Source organism: Homo sapiens, chromosome 11 (genome assembly GCF_000001405.40).
Source record: "Homo sapiens chromosome 11, GRCh38.p14 Primary Assembly".
NCBI classification, from domain to species: Eukaryota; Metazoa; Chordata; class Mammalia; order Primates; family Hominidae; genus Homo; species Homo sapiens.
The window spans coordinates 27,672,532-27,690,641 of record NC_000011.10 but is presented as its reverse complement, the minus strand read 5'-3'; the positions used below and the strand labels follow the sequence as shown (position 1 = coordinate 27,690,641).

Genomic DNA, 18,110 nt, shown 5'->3' with positions numbered 1-18,110 from the left:
ATAGGTCTCTTTCATTGTGAAGTCAGGAGGTGATTTTGCTTAAATGTGTAGTATAGGAATCTATATGTGGTGTTCAAGGATCATGTAAATATGCTGATATAATCGGAGCACAGTTTGGCATCATTAACTCAGAAATATTTAAACTCTTGCTATACAACATGGAAGCAAACTTGTGCATAGTTTGTGTGTGTGTGTGTGTGTGAATCTCAAAAAAAGAAAAAAATCACAGGATCAGGAAGTCGGAATAGGTCCCACTTTTCTTCTAGTACCAAACCTACAGCCATGTTCCTAGCCTTCTCTTTTACTCCCAAGCAAGACAGACAGGCAAATGACCATCCTGCTGCCCATTTCTGTGTATATTCACTTGCATTGAGAGTTGTATTCACCTGCTTGTTGAGAGTATTCACAAATGGTACCTGATAAAGTAGATACTTCTTTAAACATGTGAATTTTTTTGCATTGTATAATGTTTAGAAATAATCATGTATAAATGGTTGAATATTAATACAGGATTGCCTTATCAAGTATTTTATTAATCATTAAAATGTGGTGTCATTAATACAATTTATTTTAAGTGCTTTTCCTAAAATACCAGATTATTTTTCTGATTTTCACATCCCTGACAATGACTTTCTTAAACTTGGTAGCCAGGAACAGAAAACCTAACACTGCATGTTCTCACTCATAAGTGGGAGCTGAACAGAGAGAACACATGGACTCAGGGAGGGGAACCACACACACTGGGGCCTGGAGCAGGGGGCAGGGGAAGGGAGAGAGTGCGTCAGGACAAACAGACAAATAGCTAATGCATGCGAGCCTTAATACCTAGGTGATGGGTTGATAGGTGCAGCAAACCACCATGACACATATTTACCTATGTAACAAACCTGCACATTCTGCACATGTATCCCGGAACTTAAAGTAAAATAAAAAATAATAATAAAATAAAATAAACTTAGTAGCATCTATTGTTCCAGAGCCTGTAATTGCTCTTCAGGCAGTCTCACATAAAAACCTAGGAGAACCTTCACTGTCACTGTTCCATGAGGTGTTAGGAAAACTTGCTCTACTGCAGTGCCCCAGTAGGCATTGGTACTGAGACCAAAATTCAGCTGGTTTGTTGTTACTACGATTCCTACGTGATTTCACTTGTCATGTAGACAAGATTGCACACTTCAATAATAATCTTGTCCAAATGTGTGGTATTCCATACATTTTTAAAATGCATTCACATATCTCATTCCATTTGATCCTACAAATAACTCTATAAAAAAGATTGGCAGACATTATTTCTATATAACAGAGGAGGAAACTGGAGCTTAGAGAAGCTAAATAGCAATCCAAAATGCACAGCTGTAGAACCAGAGCAAGGATGATAGCCCAGTGACTTCACCTAACCTAGTCCCCTTACCACCACTCCAGCTGTCTATAACCAAAACCTGCAGTATTCAAGTAAGAAACCATATCTTGCCCTTGATGCATTAATGTGAGACCTGGAGCAGGAACAGGCTGATATTGTCACCCTGGCCTACTGTCCACCTTTGTCTCCAGCAGAGACTGGTACCCTTCTGTGTGCCAAGGAATAAAGTGGTAATGGGAAGATTAAAAATGTTTTTTCCAAGGAGTTTTTTAATTTAATTTTTTTAAAAAAGAAAAAACTCTTAGAGGGAAAAATGAATATATGACTTTTGATGTATTGTTCCTTAGTAACTTAGTTATAATTTTACTTAAACCTGAGACTCTTGCTAAGTGAATGATTAGAAATATTAGGTGGCTGGCCAGATGGCAAATAGGAACAGCTGCAGTCTGCAGCTCCCAGAGAGATCAATGCAGAAGGTGGGTGATTTCTGCATTTCCAACTGAGGTACCGGGCTCATCTCATTGGGACTGGTTAGACAGTGGGTGCAGCCCATGGAGGGTGAGCCAAAGCAGGGTGGAGCATTGCCTCACTCAGGAAGCGCAAGGGGTCAGGGGAACTCCCTCCCCTAGCCAAGGGAAGCCCTGAGGGACTGTGCCATGAGGGACAGTGCTATCTGGCCCAGATACTACACATTTCCTACAGTCTTTGCAGCCGGCAGACCAGGAGATTCCCTTGGGTGCCTACACCACCAGGGCCCTGGGTTTCAAGTACAAAACTGGGTGGCCATTTGGGCAGACACCCAGTTAGCTGCAGGAGTTTTTTCTCATACCCCAGTGGCACCTGAAATTCCAGTGAGACAGAACCATTCACTCCCCCGGAAAGGGGCTGAAGGCCAGGCAGCCAAGTGATCTAGCTCAGCAGATCCCACCCCCATGGAGCACGGCAAGGTAAGATCTGCTGGTTTGAAATTCTCACTGCCAGCACAGCTGCCTGAAGTCAACCTGGGATGCTCCAGCTTGGTCGGGGGAGGGGCATCCGCCATTACTGAGGCTTGAGTAGGCTGTTTTCCTCTCACAATGTAAACAAAGCCACTGGGAAGTTTGAACTGGGTGGAGCCTACCACAGCTCAGCAAAGCCCCTGTAGCCAGATTGCCTCTCTAGATTCTCCCTCTCTGGGCAGGGCATCTGGGAAAGAAAGGCAGCAGCCCCAGTCAGGGGCTTATAGATAAAACTCCCATCTCATGGGACAGAGCACCTGGGAGAGGGGGTGGCTGTGGGCCCAGCTTCAGCAGACTTAAATGTTCTTTGCCTGTTGGCTGTGAAGAGAGCAGTGGATCTCCCAGCACAGCACTTGAGCTCTGCTAAGGGACAGACTGCCTTCTTAAGCAGGTCCCTGACCCTCGTGATTCCTGAGTGGGAGACACCTCCCAGCAGGGGTCGACAGACACTTCATACAGGAGAGCTCTGGCTGGCATCTGGTGGGTGCCCCTCTGGGACAAACCTTCCAGAGGAAGGAACAGGCAGCAGTCTTTGCTGTTCTGCAGCTTCTGCTGGTGATACCCAGGCAAACAGGGTCTGGAGTGGACCTCCACCAAATTCCAGCAGACCTGCAGCAGAGGGGCCTGACTGTTAGAAGGAAAACTAACAAACAGGAATAGCATCAACATCAACAAAAAGGATGTCCACACGAAAACCCCGTACAAAGGTCGCCAACATCAAAGATCAAACATAGATAAATCCACAAGGATGAGGAAAATCCAGCACAAAAAGGCTGAAAATTCCAAAAACCAGAATGCCTCTTCTCCTCCAAGGGAGCACAACTCTTTGCCAGCAAGGGAACAAAACTGGATGGAGAATGAGTTTGATGAATTGACAGAAGTATGCTTCAGAAAGTGGGTAAAAACAGACTCCTCCAAGCTAAAGGAGCATGCTCTAACCCAATGCAAAGAAGCTAAGAACCTTGAAAAAAGGTTGGAGGAATTGCTAACTAGAATAACTAGTTTAGAGAAGAACATAAATGACCTAATGGAGCTGAAAAACACAGCACGAGAACTCTGTGAAGCATACACAAGCTTCAATAACTGAATCGATAAAGCAGAGGAAAGGATATCAGAGATTGAAGATCAATTTAATGAAATAAAGCATGAAGACAAGATTAGAGAAAAAAAGAATGAAAAGGAAGGAACAAAGCCTCCAAGAAATGTGGGACTATGTGAAAAGACCAAACCTACATTTCATTGGTGTACCTGAAAGTGGCGGGGACAATGGAACCAAGTTGGAAAACACTCCTTAGGATATTATCCAGGAGAACTTCCCCAAACTAGCAAGACAAGCCAACATTCAAATTCAGGAAATACAGAGAACACCACAAAGATACCCCTCAAGAAGAGCAAACCCAAGACATGTAATTGTCAGATTCACCAAGGTTGAAATGCAGGAAAAAAAGTTAAGGGCAGCGAGAGAGAAAGGTCGGGTTACCCAAAAAGGGAAGCCCATCAGACTAACAGTGGATCTCTCAGCAGAAACCCTACAAGCCTACAAGCCAGAAGAGAGTGGGGGCCAATATTCAACATTCTTAAAGAAAAGAATTTTCAACCCAGAATTTCATATCCAGCCAACTAAGCTTCAGAAGTGAAGTAGAAATAAAATCCTTTACAGACGAGCAAATGCTGAGAGATTTTGTCACCACCAGGCATGCCTTACAAGAGCTCCTGAAGGAAGTACTAAATAAGGAAAGGAAAAACCGGTACCAGCCACTGCAGAAACATACCAAATTGTAAAGACCATTGAAACTATGAAGAAACTGCATCAACTAATGGGCAAAATAACCAGCTAACATCATAATGACAGGATCAAATTCACACATAACAATATTAACCTTAAATATAAATGGGCTAAATGCCCCAATTAAAAGACCACAGACTGGCAAATTGGATAAAGAGTCAAGACCCATCAGTGTGCTGTGTTCTGGAGACCCATCTCACATGCAAAGACACACATAGGCTGAAAATAAAGGGATGGAGGAAGATCTACCAAGCAAATGGAAAGCAAAAAAAAAGCAGGGGTTGCAATCCTAGTCTCTGATAAAACAGACTTTAAACCAACAAAGATCAAAAGAGACAAAGAAGGCCATTACATAATGATAAAGGGATCAATTCAACAAGAAGAGCTAACTATCCTAAACATATATGCACCCAATACAGGAGCACCCAGATTCATAAAGCAAGTTCTTAGAGACCCACAAAGAGACCAAGACTCCCACACAATAATAGTGTGAGACTTTAACACCCCAATGTCAATATTAGGTCAACGAGACAGAAAATTAACAAGCATATTCAGGATTTGAACTCAGCTCTGGACCCAGTGGAACTAATAGACATCTACAGAACTCTCCACCCCATATCAACAGAATATACATTCTTCTCAGCACCACATCACACTTATTCTAAAATTGACCACATAATTGGAAGTAAAACACTCCTCAGCAAATGCAAAAGAATGGAAATCATAACAAACAGTCTCTCAGACCAAAGTGCAATTAAATTAGAACTCAGGATTAAGAAACTAACTCAAAACCATACAACTACAGTGGAAACTGAACAACCTGCTCCTGAATGACTACTGAGTAAATAACAAAAAGAAGGCAGAAATAAATACATTATTTGAGACCAATGAGAATAAAGATACAACATACCAGAATCTCTGGGACACAGCTAAAACAGTGTTTAGGGGAAATTCATAGCAATAAATGCCCACAGGAGAAAGCAGGAAAGAGCTAAAATCAACACTCTAACATCACAATTAAAGGAACTAGAGAAGCAAGAGCAAACACATTCAAAAGCTAGCAGAAGACAAGAAATAACTAAGATCAGAGCAGAACTGAAGGAGATTAGAGACACAAAAAACCCTTCAAAAAAATCAGTGAATCCAGAAGCTGGTTTTTTGAAAAGATTAACAAAATAGATAGAATGCTAGCCAGATTGATAAAGAAGAAAAGAGAGAAGAATCAAATAGACGCAATAAAAGATGATAAAGAGGATATCACCACTGATCCCACAAAAATACAATCTACCATCAGAGAACACTATAAACACCTCTATGCAAATAAACTAGAAAATCTAGAAGAAATGAATAAATTCCTGGACACATACACCCTCCTAAGACTAAAGGAAGAAGTCAAATTCCTGAATAGACCAATAATAAGTTCTGAAATCGAGGCAGTAATTAACAGCCTACCAACCAAAAAAAGCCCAGGACCAGACGGATTCACAGCTGAATTCTACCAGAAGTACAAAGAAGAGCTGGTACCATTCCTTCTGAAACTATTCCAATCAATAGAAAAGGAGGGAATCCTCCCTAACTCATTTTATGAGTCCGGCATCATCCTGATACAAAAACCTGGCAGAGACACAGCAAAAAAATAAAATTGTAGGCCAATATCCCTGATGAACATTGATGCAAAAATCTTCAATAAAAAACTGGTAAACTGAATCCAGCAGCACATCAAAAAGCTTATCTACCATGATAATTTGGCTTCATCCCTGGGATGCAAGGCTGGTTCAACATATGCAAATCAATAAAGATAATCCATCACATAAAGAGAACCAATGACAAAAACCACATGATTATTTCAATAGATGCAGAAAAGGCCTTTCATAAAATTCAACAGCCCTTCATGCTAAAAACTCTCAATAAACTAGGTATTGATGGAACATATCTCAAAATAATAAGAGCTATTTATGAGAAACCCACAGCCAATATCATACTGAATGGGCAAAAGCTGGAAGCATTCATTTGAAAACCGGCACAAAACAAGGATGCCCTCTGTCACCACTCCTATTCAACATAGTATTGGACGTTCTAGCCAGGGCAATCAGGCAATAGAAAGAAATAAAGCATATTCAAATAGGAAGAGAGGAAGTCAAATTGTCTCTGTTTGCAGATGACATGATTGTATATTTAGAAAACCCCATCATCTCAGCCCAAAATCTCCTTAAGCTGATAAGCAACTTCAGCAAAGTCTCAGGATACAAAATCAATGTGCAAAAATCACGAGCATTCCTATACACCAATAATGACAAACAGCCAAGTCATGAGTGAACTCCCATTCACAATTGCTACAAAGAGAATAAAATGCCTAGGAATACAACTTACAAGGGATGTGAAGGACCTCTTTAAAGAGAACTACAAACCACTGCTCAATGAAATAAGAGAGGACACAAACAAATGGAAGAACATTCCATTCTCATGGATAGGAAGAATCAATATCGTGAAAATGGCCATACTGCCCAAAGTAATTTATAGATCCAATGCTATCCCCATCAAGCTACCATTGACTTTCTTCATAGAATTAGAAAAAACTACTTTAAATTTCATATGGAACCAAAAAACAGCCCGTATAGCCAAGACAATCCTAAGCAAAATGAACAAGCTGGAGGCATCATGCTACCTGACTTCAAACTATACTACAAGGCTACAGTAACCAAAACATCATGGTACTGGTACATAAACAGATAGATAGACCAATGGAACAGAACAGAGGCCTCAGAAATAACGCCACACATCTACAACCATCTGATCTTTGACAAACATGACAAAAACAAGCAATGCAGAAAGGATTCCCTATTTAATAAATGGTGTCGGGAAAACTGGCTAGCCATTTGCAGAAAACTGAAACTGGACCCCTTCCTTACACGTTATACAAAAATTAACTCAAGATGGATTAAAGACTTAAACATAAAACATAAAACCATAAAAACCCTAGAAGAAAACCTAGGCAATACCATTCAGGACATAGGCATGGCAAAGACTTCATGACTAAAATACCAAAAGCAATGGCAACAAAAGCCAAAATTGACAAATGGGATCTAATTAAACTAAAGAGCTTCTGCACAGCAAAAGAAACTAACATCAGAGTGAACAGGCAACCGACAGAATGGGTGAAATTTTTTGCAACGTATCCATCTGACAAAAGGCTAATATCCAGAATCTACAAGGAACCTAAACAAGTTTACAAGAAAAAAAACAACCCCATCAAAAAGTGGGCGAAGGGTATGAACAGATGCTTCTCAAAAGAAGAAATTTATGCTGCCAACAAACATACGAAGAAAAGCTCATCATCACTGGTCATTAGAGAAATGCAAATCAAAACCACAGTGAGATACCATCTTATGCCAGTTAGAATGGCGATCATTAAAAAGTCAGGAAACAACAGATGCAGGAGAGGATGTAGAGAAATAGGAACACTTTTACACTGTTGGTGGGAGTGTAAATTAGTTCAACCATTGTGGAAGACAGTGTGGTGATTCCTCAAGGATCTAGAACCAGAAATATCTTTTGACCCAGCCATCCCATTACTGGGTATATACTCAAAGGATTATAAATCATGCTACTATAAAGACACATGCACATGTATGTTTATTGTGGCACTATTCACAATAGCAAAGACTTGGAACCAATCCGAATGCCCATCAATGATAGACTGGATAAAGAAAATGTGACACACATACACCATGGAATACTATGCAGCCATAAAAAAGGATGAGTTCATGTCCTTTGCAGGGACATGGATGAAGCTGGAAACCATCATTCTTGGCAAGGTAACACAGGAACAGAAAACCAAACACCACATGTTCTCACTCATAAGTGGGAGTTGAACAGTGAGAACACATGGACACTGGGAGGAGAACATCACACACTGGGGCCTGTCAGGGTGTAGGAGGCTAGGGGAGGGATAGCATTAGGAGAAATACCTAATGTAGATGACAAGTTGATGAGTGCAGCAAACCACCATGGCATCTGTATACCTAGGTAACAAACCTGCACGTTCTGCACATGTACCCCAGAACTTAAAAGTATTATTATTATTATTATAATAATAATAATAAAAGAAATACAATAAAATAGAATGCAGCATACAGCAGTGATTCTCAAACACATTCAGCATCAGAATTACCCTTGAATCTTTAAAATATATATACATATGAGATCTTAGTCTCCAAGATTTGTAAGTTTGGTATTGGGTCCCTGGGCCTATGTTGGGTTTAGAAACTTCTACAGATGGTTTGGATGTATGGGACAGTTTAAGAATCGCTGAACTAAAATCAAATAAACTGAATATCCTGTGATTTAGAGAGACTTATCGTTTATTTCACTATCCAAGTACTTGCATTAGAGCGTGGCTAGAAGGGATTTGCAGCCTTGTAAATAATCAGAAATTCAGACATTTTGAGATGAGAGAACTGCTGAAGATTTTATTCTGACTTGAAATAAATTTTCTAATTAGAAACTTCCAGGTGAGAGCAAAGGCCTGGAACAATATTCCTGAGCCAGAGGAGGATCGAGTTTGACTCCAGGCCTAACACTTACTAGGTCTATGACCTTGGGTCAGTAATTTAAATTCTCTGTATCTCAACCTCTCAACAGGGTATTGGTAGGGATTAAATGTGTTAGTGTCTGTGAAGTGCTTAGAGCAGTGCTTGGCATAGTAAATGCTTAATGAATTTCAGCCACTGTTTTTATTTTTAGTACTTTCCAGCTCCCCCAAAAAGATACTTTTTTTAGACTTGTATTAAGACAATAAAAAGTTTAATCAGCATGCTTCATACCTAAATATGCTTCACTTTATAGCAAAGTTTACAAGACTAAAACTGTTTTGTTGTAATTCTCTGAGTCTCATGTGTTTATTAATGATTTTTTCTGCTGTTTATTCATCTGAATTCTACTCATTCTTCAAGACCTAGCTGGAATCCTGTTTCTAGAAAGACTCTTGCCCATAATAATAAACCTGCCCTATCTGAGTTCCTAGGTGGTCTGTACCTCATAATTTGGTAATTAATTGTATATGCACTTATATAACAAAACATTATTGTGTGTCTTTGCTGTATCAGATTCTAGGCTGGAAGTTGTAGATATGATGTTTTTGTCTAGAAAAATGTTCTAGAATGTCCTACTCAGGACAGTCTGTTGACTTTAAAGACACATTTCCTAAACAGACACTTCATGAGGCAGCCCCAGCCTGTACCTGTGTTCCTGGACCTGATGATCAAGTTTGATTTAAGCCTCACCACTTACTAGCTCTGTGATTTTGGGCAAGTTACTTGAATTCTCTGTGTGTAGATAGAACAATGTTGAGGGAAATCCCTTTCCCCCATCCTTGTGTTTCCACAAGGGAACTTGCTTCCTAATAAGTAACACTTTCAGGGGAATATTCTAGGCCCTTCTCTTATCCCCATTACTTGTTCTTTCTGTGAAAAGAGGAGAGGTTAATCTGATGGATGAAATCCTTAATCTTTCATCTTCTGGACTGTAGAGCCTGTGAACCAAAGCAATGGACCACTTGCACTGAAATTGAGGCTGACCCTGTATTTTGATTCTTATTTGGCAACTTATTTCTATTCTGTTCCCAATTCAAAATCCCAAGGGGAGAAGGAAGATAATTGATTACCAGAAGTATGTAATGGTGGTAGGAAGTTGAATAAATGGTAACTTTTTAAAAGTTGCATGAGATATAGTCCTTATCCCAGAGAAGCTAAGTTTGCTTTTCTTTCCTCTCATGTATTTTAGTATTATTTCTACAATTAGATTGTAAACCCTTTAAAAGCAAGAATATTTCTACATTTTCTTACTCCTGATAGCACACAGTAGACTGCTGGGCACATACATAGTAGGTGGCTCTGTAGGTACTTGCTAAATGATTCAACATGTTTTTCCCTCATGGAAAAGAAAGATTTCAGTATTGTTCTTATCAGCTAGGAAGGCACTCTGAATAGGAAATCAGTTCTAGGCAGGTATCCATAAATGGGTTATGATTTCCAACTTACTTGCCCCAGAGGCTCGCTAATGTTGAACTCTTCATGGGTACTTTGTCTTGCTTCATGAGCTATACATGCTAAGGGGTTAGCAGATCATATAATCTTTTGATCTACAAAATATGATCTTTATTGAACAAAAACTTGGGCCAAAGGCCTTTCTCCTTTGCCACCTTCCTCCCTCTTTTCATTCTCTTTTTTGGGAATGCCCTTTGTGCATGTTAGTTACAGCATGTACCACATTGCACTGTATTGTTGGTTTTTGGGTCTAACCCACCCTTAACACTGCAGTCCCCAAGGGCAGAAATTCAGTCTCATTCATTTTGATGTCCTCAGTGCCTGTGCTCAGAGAATATCTATTATTTGAAAAAATAGTGCAAAAGTAAATTTTAGGAGACTACATCACACTCATCTAAACTGCAAGTTTGACAAGTTGACATCCAAAAGAAAGGCTCTCCTAAATAACCTCGCCACAGAAATTTGGGTGACCTTTGTAGCTCTGGAGAAAGCAGAGGCAAAAATGAAACCTAAAAATTATTTGTGGGTTTTTAAAAAATGTTTTCTCATGGAGTAAAGGTCTACAGCTGAGTTCTTTTCATATGAGGGAATGACAGAAACACAGCTGGTTCTGACTTTCAGCTTCAACTGAGCGACCAGAGCTCTGCTGGTGAAACAGGAACTTGTATTGTGCCCCTGACGTGCACCTTGAAGGTGTCAGCTCATTGTCCCTTTGTTCACATAAATAGTTTTTTAAGAATTGTTTTTGATCTTGTGAGCCTCTAACTAAATGATTAACCATGCAAAGTTGGCCATTTGGGGTAATACTGAAGCACTTCTCTTGAGGGCTATTGACAGGTGGGAATGTGCCCACCTCCTTGGGTCTCTGGTTTTCATGTCATACTTGCAAATCAGTGACAGTTTAAACTTGGGGCAATCACTTAGCAAGTCTATTGAGTTACCAAGTTAATTATTCCCACTTTGCATGAAGCAACCTTGAAAATGATTTTCCTAAAGCAAAGTACATCCAAACTCAGTACCTTCTTAATAACCTTTGCTGAATGAATAAATGACTAATTCATAAAAAATGTAACATATCTTTAATTCTTACTTACGGGCAGTTTAAGCCTCTTGTGTAAGAGGAGGCCTCGGCTTGAGATAACATAGGATAGTAAGCCTCCTAGAGAAATTTCTATATGGAAACATGGTCTGCTATGAAGCTAGAAGTGAGAGGACATTATATTTGACCATTATATTTGGCTTCAGAGCTTCTCAACATGGGGCCCAAAGTCAAGGTCCCTTGTTTCATTAAGAGGAGGTCCAGGAGTGCATGACACCCATCAGACTACTGAGACCCAGCTGGAACTAGGCACCTTGCACAGGGGCCTTGCCTAATCAAAATAGTTCTTATTTTTTCTGAGTTCCAAGTAACTAGTTTCCTAACCCAGTGTCTGGATAGTAGTGCCAAGTGGGAGTACCTTCAATGAACTTCCTCATGAGGTTATTTCTAGCCTATTGGAATGTTTCGTTTTAGGAGGGTGAGGAAGGGAAGTCTTGAATTTTTGTGCTTAGTTTAATGTTGTGATACAGCTTTGACCATCCGTTTAATGGGAGATCTGTTTTCCAGATGACTATACATGTGGAAAGGAGAAGTTTTTTGAGTGTTTTTTTTAACCCCTTTTAAAGAATGGTTTTTCATTTAGTCTCTACATTTGGGGGTAAAAGGTCCTCTAGGGAGACTTTTCAAAAGTATTTGAAGTTTGCATCTGATTTCAGAGGTGAGTTGGAGGCCTATCTGTGTATGACAGACACATGTCTCCAACAACTATATGTTCACAAGGACTAAGAGCCATCCTTTTGGGTCCATCATTCAACATTGATCTCACATTCGTGTTCGTATCAGTATCTTTACAGTGCGCTCCCAGTTACATCTCCCTAATTTCCCTTAGTAGGCTTCACAGAATTTGCAGTGTATGCAATGGCAGATGACCACATGTGGAGTCATTTAACCACATCTTCCACTGCAAGTCAGCCCGCTCTTGATGTCTGTTTATGTTTAGATTCCATCTTTTGGAAGATTTCATTCCTCTGCACTATCTCAGTATCTCAGATGCTTTTGAGACTGGGTCCTTTTCCCCTCCTATGTTTGGCCATGGCCACCCCCTCAGGGTTGTGTTGTGTTTCACAGCTGCTGTTTGTAGGGTTGACCTTTACAATGTACAAAGCTCTTTCCCATATGTTGACAATCCCTGGTGTGATGCTGTGAGTTAGGCAGGGTGTGTATACGTGTCCTCATCATATTACAGTGGTAAGGCAACAGGGTTTTTGAATTTGATCACCCATGAATTTGTCTAATTTGTTGGTAAAAAATGGTCATGTATCAGCCGTTTCACAGGGTCAGCTTAATAGAAAGTGGGAGTTAGGCAGGACCAGAATTCAGGACTTCAGCCCCCGGTCCCAGGGACTATTCTCTATACCCAATTGTCCCACCTTGAATCAGTTTCTTCTAGGGAAATATCTCCAAAACTGAGATGGCACCCACAGGACTTCTTAATTGTAGTCATTACCAGGAAAAACAAGCAAAGGAACTGGTGTAAATCTCTGTTTTTGGTGATTGGTGGAGATTTGGAGATTGTCTTGTGTCAAAAGTAAAGCCACTAGATTAAATGTTTTGTTAATAAATTGGTTATTTTTAATTTAATTATTTGACAGTTAATTTACATTATTCAAAAATCAAAATAAAATTTAAAAGAAGTTTACACTGAAAAGTCTTGCCCCACTTATACCCTGCTCACCTCAGTATCCCCCAATACATACCATCTATAAGGTGATCATTTGTATTAGTTTCTTGTGAATCCTTGATAGTGTGTTTTATATAGATACAGGTAAATATGAGTATGTACTATTATTTCCCCCCCACCCCACCCTGTTTTTTTTTTGAGACGGAGTCTCGCTCTGTCGCCCAGGCTGGAGTGCAGTGGCACGATCTCGGCTCACCGCAAGCTCCACCATTTTCCCCCATTTTTAAAACAAAAGGTAGTAGCCATATATACACTATTTTACACCTTGTTTTATCACTTACTAATATATACCAGAGAGCTTTCCATCATTTTGTACATATGCACCTATATCTGTCAATTATTCCCAGAAGTGGAATTGCTGGGTCAGCAGGAAAAATCATGTATAATTTTGATAGGTATTGCCTAATTGTCCTGCACAGGGCTTGAATTGTTTGTACTCCCACCTTTAGTGTATGAGAAGACCTGTTTCTCCATAGCCTCATCAAACAGAGTGTGTGAGATTAGATGAGAAATAGGAGGTGAGCAGTCTTTTACCCCATCCGTAGTTTGCAGTGGGAACACTGCACAGTTGCAAGAGCTGGTGCAGGTATCAGATTAGTTCCAGTGGAAACGCTGCCTCACCATGGCCATGGGCTTGCGCCAGCTCTAGTGACACACACGGAATGGACCCACGTTGCCACTTGCAGAATTTCCTGTAGCAGAAAGTTGAACATGCATTCATTATTCATCTAACTAGCCATGCTGGATCTAAAGAGCACAACAGTGTTTTTTAGAACCAAAAAGAAAATTGTTTCACTACAACACACTGTGTATAAGGCTTTCAATGCTCTTTTCTCAGCTATTAACATTATTTTCAGGACTGAGTTCAAGAGATGTATCCCAAATCACAGGGATGTCTTGCTAAGCTTGGAACTTTCATACTCAAGGGATGCTTTTTTGAGGAATGATTTTACACTTACTCAACATTTGTAATTAAATAATTAGTACTTTATAAGATAAATTTAAACTGTCCAAGTACAATATAAACATTGAACTATGATGCATTATTGCTAGACTTTTTCCTTAAAGTTGCCAAGTGGTTTCCTGCATTAGGCAAATAGGGGATCATATAAAAATGCCATGATTTACGGCCTAGATAACATCTCCACCATTTGAGCAGCATATATTCCAGGTCATCCCCACATAACTCCTTACCATTCTCATTAGAAAGGTTGATTCTTAGTCTTATTTTTCTCTGAGGACAGCAAAAAAAAAAATCCCCTTCAGTTCCACTGCATAGAAAAGTGTGGTAAATGGAGCCGGGCACAGTGGTTATTTAATTTAAATGGACAATATTTTTTATAGAATTTTGACAGGGCCACTGTATAGGGGAAAGTCACTCCTCTTCCCCTTTATAGAAGAGTTGCACCTGGACAGTTGCATTGATGACTGTATCCAGTCTACACAAGAGGTCATTCCTGGGCATAAGAATGGACTGCCAAAATCTAGCTGAAACACCATTGACAAATAGACATTTTCTTTTGTTAATAATACCTGTGAAGGCTTTCATAACAGACATTTCCAGTTTTGTTCTCAGGCTCCTTGCAGCTGCTCCTCTAAAAGTGTGCTCTCTTCCAAGAGCTGACAATGGCCAGAAGCAAGGTGTTCTGTCTTTTGTGCCATCATCATCTAACTTGCCACACACATTTGGGATGTCAGCCTAGGTATAGGTTTTGTATCCACTCAGTATGGCTTGTGGGTCTGGTTGCCTTTGTTATTCATGCTGAGGGCCTCTGGGCATCAGTTTGGTGTGAGAGAACCCATTCCATGACCCTCCTTCCTTTGGCTGTTTTGACTCGATGGCTCTTGTTGGCACAGTCTGTGAGTGTCTGATGCTCTATCCATGCCGGACCATCTGTTCTGCTGTCTCTGTGGTCTGAAGTCGTTTTCTGAACTATTCCTTGATAATAAATTTGAGATGATCTTGTTCTACCTTTCTTTTCAAGTCACATCTTAGCCCCTTAGCCACATTCCCGAAGAACATGACAAATGGATGGGTCACAAGTCACGTAGCATAGGGTGTCAGACCACGAGGCTTTGAAGGGATTCTGTTGGGTGCTAAAAAGAAAGATTTTGTGTCACCACGATTTTTTTTAAAGGCATGTTGACACTTAGGCCTTAATTGAAAGCGTTCTTACTCAAGTAGAGTTGACAGAGGAGTATTTGGTAGTCGCGGTTGCTGGTCTGAAGAGCATGTGGTTCTGTTTCAATGCCCAATGAGATCTTCTCACGGGAAAATGTTCTGACATCTCAAACAAATGACCTTCATGCATAGTTTTGACAAAATACCCTATTAAGTATGCATATATGGTTGGTACCTTGTGGTAATAATTCAATACTGGAAACAGAGTAGCAACAAAGAAACATTAGGGTTATATTTAACCTCTGTGGAATTAGTGTGTAAACAAACTGCTTATCAGAAATGCTCATATGGGGCTTTGTTTAAATAAATAAGAAACTGGCATATAGGGTCTGCAGGATATTTCTGCCAAGTAGACCTCCCTCACATTATAAGACACCACATCTATGTCTGACCCCATATGGAAAGAGGCATAGCAAGCCAGCACTGGTTCATATTCCCTCTCCACCACATAATGGGTATGTGATCTTAGGGAATCCACCGAAACTCTCTGGGCCTCAGTTTCCTCAGCTATAAATGGTGGATAATCAAATTATTTACCTCACCATTAATAAATGTTAGCTATTATTTTTTATCAAGTTTAATACAAAGAGAAACATTTTACTTATTTTTCCAGCTATCCAGAGCATCTTCCAAAATCCTATCACCAACAAATACTGTATTGTATTTATTATAGCAACTATGTAAAAATGGAGTCCCTGTCCTATGCTTAGATGAAATATGTTGGTATTTGAGTTTGCATGTCTTCTATAGGAATCAGTGTTTAGTGAAAACGGGTGGAGATAAACAGATGTTTTCACAGTCCTGTTGTTCACAGTACCGCCAAATTGAATGTTTCCATATAGGTGCATTCTAATGGCTTAAATGATGCAGATATTTTCTGGCCAGCCATATGGATCTTTTGTCATCTAAGATGTTAATATTTTCCTTATATTTTATAGTAGTTCTGGAGTACAGCCAGTTTCTTGAATAGGGTCCACATGGCTCATTATGCACAGGGCCTGGAAACTGCCTTACTCGTGCTGTTGAAATGAACCGTGACACTTCAGAAGAGCTGGGAGCTGGGGTAGAGCAGTGGCTAGGAGAACATATTCAATTATATTTCCTCCTGCATTAAGCTACAAGTAATGAGCACTTTCCTGTGCTTTACAGTTAAGTAATTAAAAGAAATTATAGAGTGGGATGCAAAAATAACCCGAAGGACAACTGGATGTGTGGAGCCACCAGTTTTCTCCATGAGTGCACAAGGTTAATCCTTGTTACTACTCAGAATGCTGAGTTTCTACAGAAAGGGTTGCAGGTCCACACATGTTTTGGCGTCTACCCACACGCTTCTGTATGGCATGACTGTGCATCCCAGAAGAAGGGCTGTGCTGTGTACCTCCACGTTTCAGTGGAATTTAACAAACTGATCCCTGAAAATGGTTTCATAAAGGTGAGTAACAGAGAGCTAATAGCCTTCTCTTGCTAATTTTATCTTTCCCCCAAGATTTCTTGATAATAGTTTGAAAAGGAGTGTTATTCTTTGGTCTCTAGAGGCAACTTACCTTTCCAGTTTCTTCCATCACCTGTTTTCATCTCTCTTGTTTTTTTAAATTTAATGCTCTATGTATTTCAGAGGATAGGATCTAATCTAGTGCGGTCCCTTCATCAGGTGAGAATTATTCATCTCATTTTCATTTTAGCCCTTCTGAATTAATGACATTGAAGCCCGGCAGTTTGGTCCTAAGATGGGTTTAATTATGTACAGATACTCTTTCTATAATGGAAATTGCTCAGATAACTAATTAACCACAAGAATACACTGTCTATGGAAAATTTCAGGAGCACCGTCTGTGGAAAAACTGGGAAGGGCATGCTGTCACCACAGCTCTGGGGTCTATTAAAAGTGTGGTTATGCAGCACTGGTGTCTAGTGGGGTGTTGGCTCTCAACTGCCAGAATTCCCATAGCATTTCATGGCAGAAAGTCAAGGTGTCCAGCAATACTCTGAAAGTGACCTGTTGATTAAAGTCGTCAATTCTGAAGAAAGAGACTGAAATAAGACAAATGGGTCTTAACTTTTTTTCTCTTTCTCTCTCTTGTAAAAATGTGTGATTGTTCTGGCATGTTCCCAATCCCCACATAATGCCAACATCTTTTCTTAAAGGGGGATTCCCTTTATCCTTGGATCTGAGAATTATTGCATGTTCTCCCTTTAGGGACAATGAATGCAGTTGCATCACCCTTGCTTTTTTTTTTTTTTTTGTACACAGCATGCTTATTCTTGGATGCAGGGACTTGAAAGACAAAGCCCCACCTGGCTTTCACAACATCTCCTATTAGTAGGTGTGCCTTGTGTGTAATTTGAAGGAGGCGGTCCCTTAGCTGTGTTTACACTGTACTTTTAAATGTGGGGCTGAAGGTAGAATCAACCATACTTAAGATGCCACCTGGGAAAATAGGGTTCTGTGTCATCTCAGCCCCACCCATTTGCAAATGACTTAACAGCAGCACTATTAGGGTTCCTAGTGTGAGTCATTTGCATTTGGACTGGTGAACTTGGTGACTTCTTGGTGTTTGGAAACAAACAACCTTTGCAGTCTTTCGTAAAAAGCCTGAACAGTGGACCAGTCTCCAGTTCTACTTGCAAAGCTGCCCCCATCAAATCCCTCATAATGTTCAACTTAAAAAATGTTACACTTTTCTCTGGAAATCTAACCTTTTTTCCTTTTTTAAAAGCCATTTTAAGTACTTCAGTCTTGAATCAAATGATCCCAAATATTGGACACCAACCTAGAAATTGGGTTACCTCCTGGGAACTTTATCGAAGAAGAGAGATTTTGGTTGGAGAGGGGGTTTTGATGTTTGATACTTATATTTACTATTTTAATATTTCATTGTTGTTGTTGCTGCTGCTGCTGTATTATTTTGCGAGTTTCGTTTGTTTAAATTTCATGGTATTTGGTAGGAGAGAGCTGGATC

At 40.0% G+C, this 18,110-nt stretch overlaps 1 protein-coding gene and 1 long non-coding RNA gene across 20 annotated transcripts in view, besides 2 other annotated features; one reads left to right on the top strand and one right to left on the bottom strand.

Annotated features, from left to right (window-relative positions):
* The window catches only part of BDNF-AS (BDNF antisense RNA), a 191,320-nt gene that overhangs the window by 7,530 nt on the left and 165,680 nt on the right, over positions 1-18,110 (bottom strand). Inside the window, exons 6-7 of one of the 5 annotated variants that reach the window (NR_033312.1) lie at positions 14,502-15,065; positions 13,503-13,660 (exon numbers count right to left, since the gene is read on the bottom strand). The exons of 1 other annotated variant lie outside the window; for it this stretch is intronic. This is a non-coding gene — a long non-coding RNA (BDNF antisense RNA). Of the gene's footprint in view, positions 1-12,836; positions 13,661-14,501; positions 15,346-18,110 lie in introns of those variants that run through there. 3 more of the 5 variants (NR_002832.2, NR_033315.1, NR_033314.1) reach the window with 3 other exon arrangements.
* The window catches only part of BDNF (brain derived neurotrophic factor), a 67,138-nt gene that overhangs the window by 31,389 nt on the left and 17,639 nt on the right, over positions 1-18,110 (top strand). For 2 of the 15 annotated variants that reach the window (NM_001143810.2, NM_001143811.2), the window contains exon 2: positions 16,300-16,582. In NM_001143810.2, coding sequence (NP_001137282.1) covers positions 16,358-16,582 — 225 coding nt within the window. In that variant the 5' untranslated portion in view covers positions 16,300-16,357. 15 annotated transcript variants of the gene reach the window in all.
* Positions 1,455-2,360: an enhancer, noted in NCBI's record as "NANOG-H3K27ac-H3K4me1 hESC enhancer chr11:27709829-27710734 (GRCh37/hg19 assembly coordinates)". NCBI's record gives its function as "activates a minimal SCP1, AML or CMV promoter by ChIP-STARR-seq in primed H9 embryonic stem cells {active_cell/tissue: H9 hESC(primed)}" and the evidence as "EXISTENCE:reporter gene assay evidence [ECO:0000049][PMID:30033119]".
* Positions 2,361-3,268: an enhancer, noted in NCBI's record as "NANOG-H3K27ac-H3K4me1 hESC enhancer chr11:27708921-27709828 (GRCh37/hg19 assembly coordinates)". NCBI's record gives its function as "activates a minimal SCP1, AML or CMV promoter by ChIP-STARR-seq in primed H9 embryonic stem cells {active_cell/tissue: H9 hESC(primed)}" and the evidence as "EXISTENCE:reporter gene assay evidence [ECO:0000049][PMID:30033119]".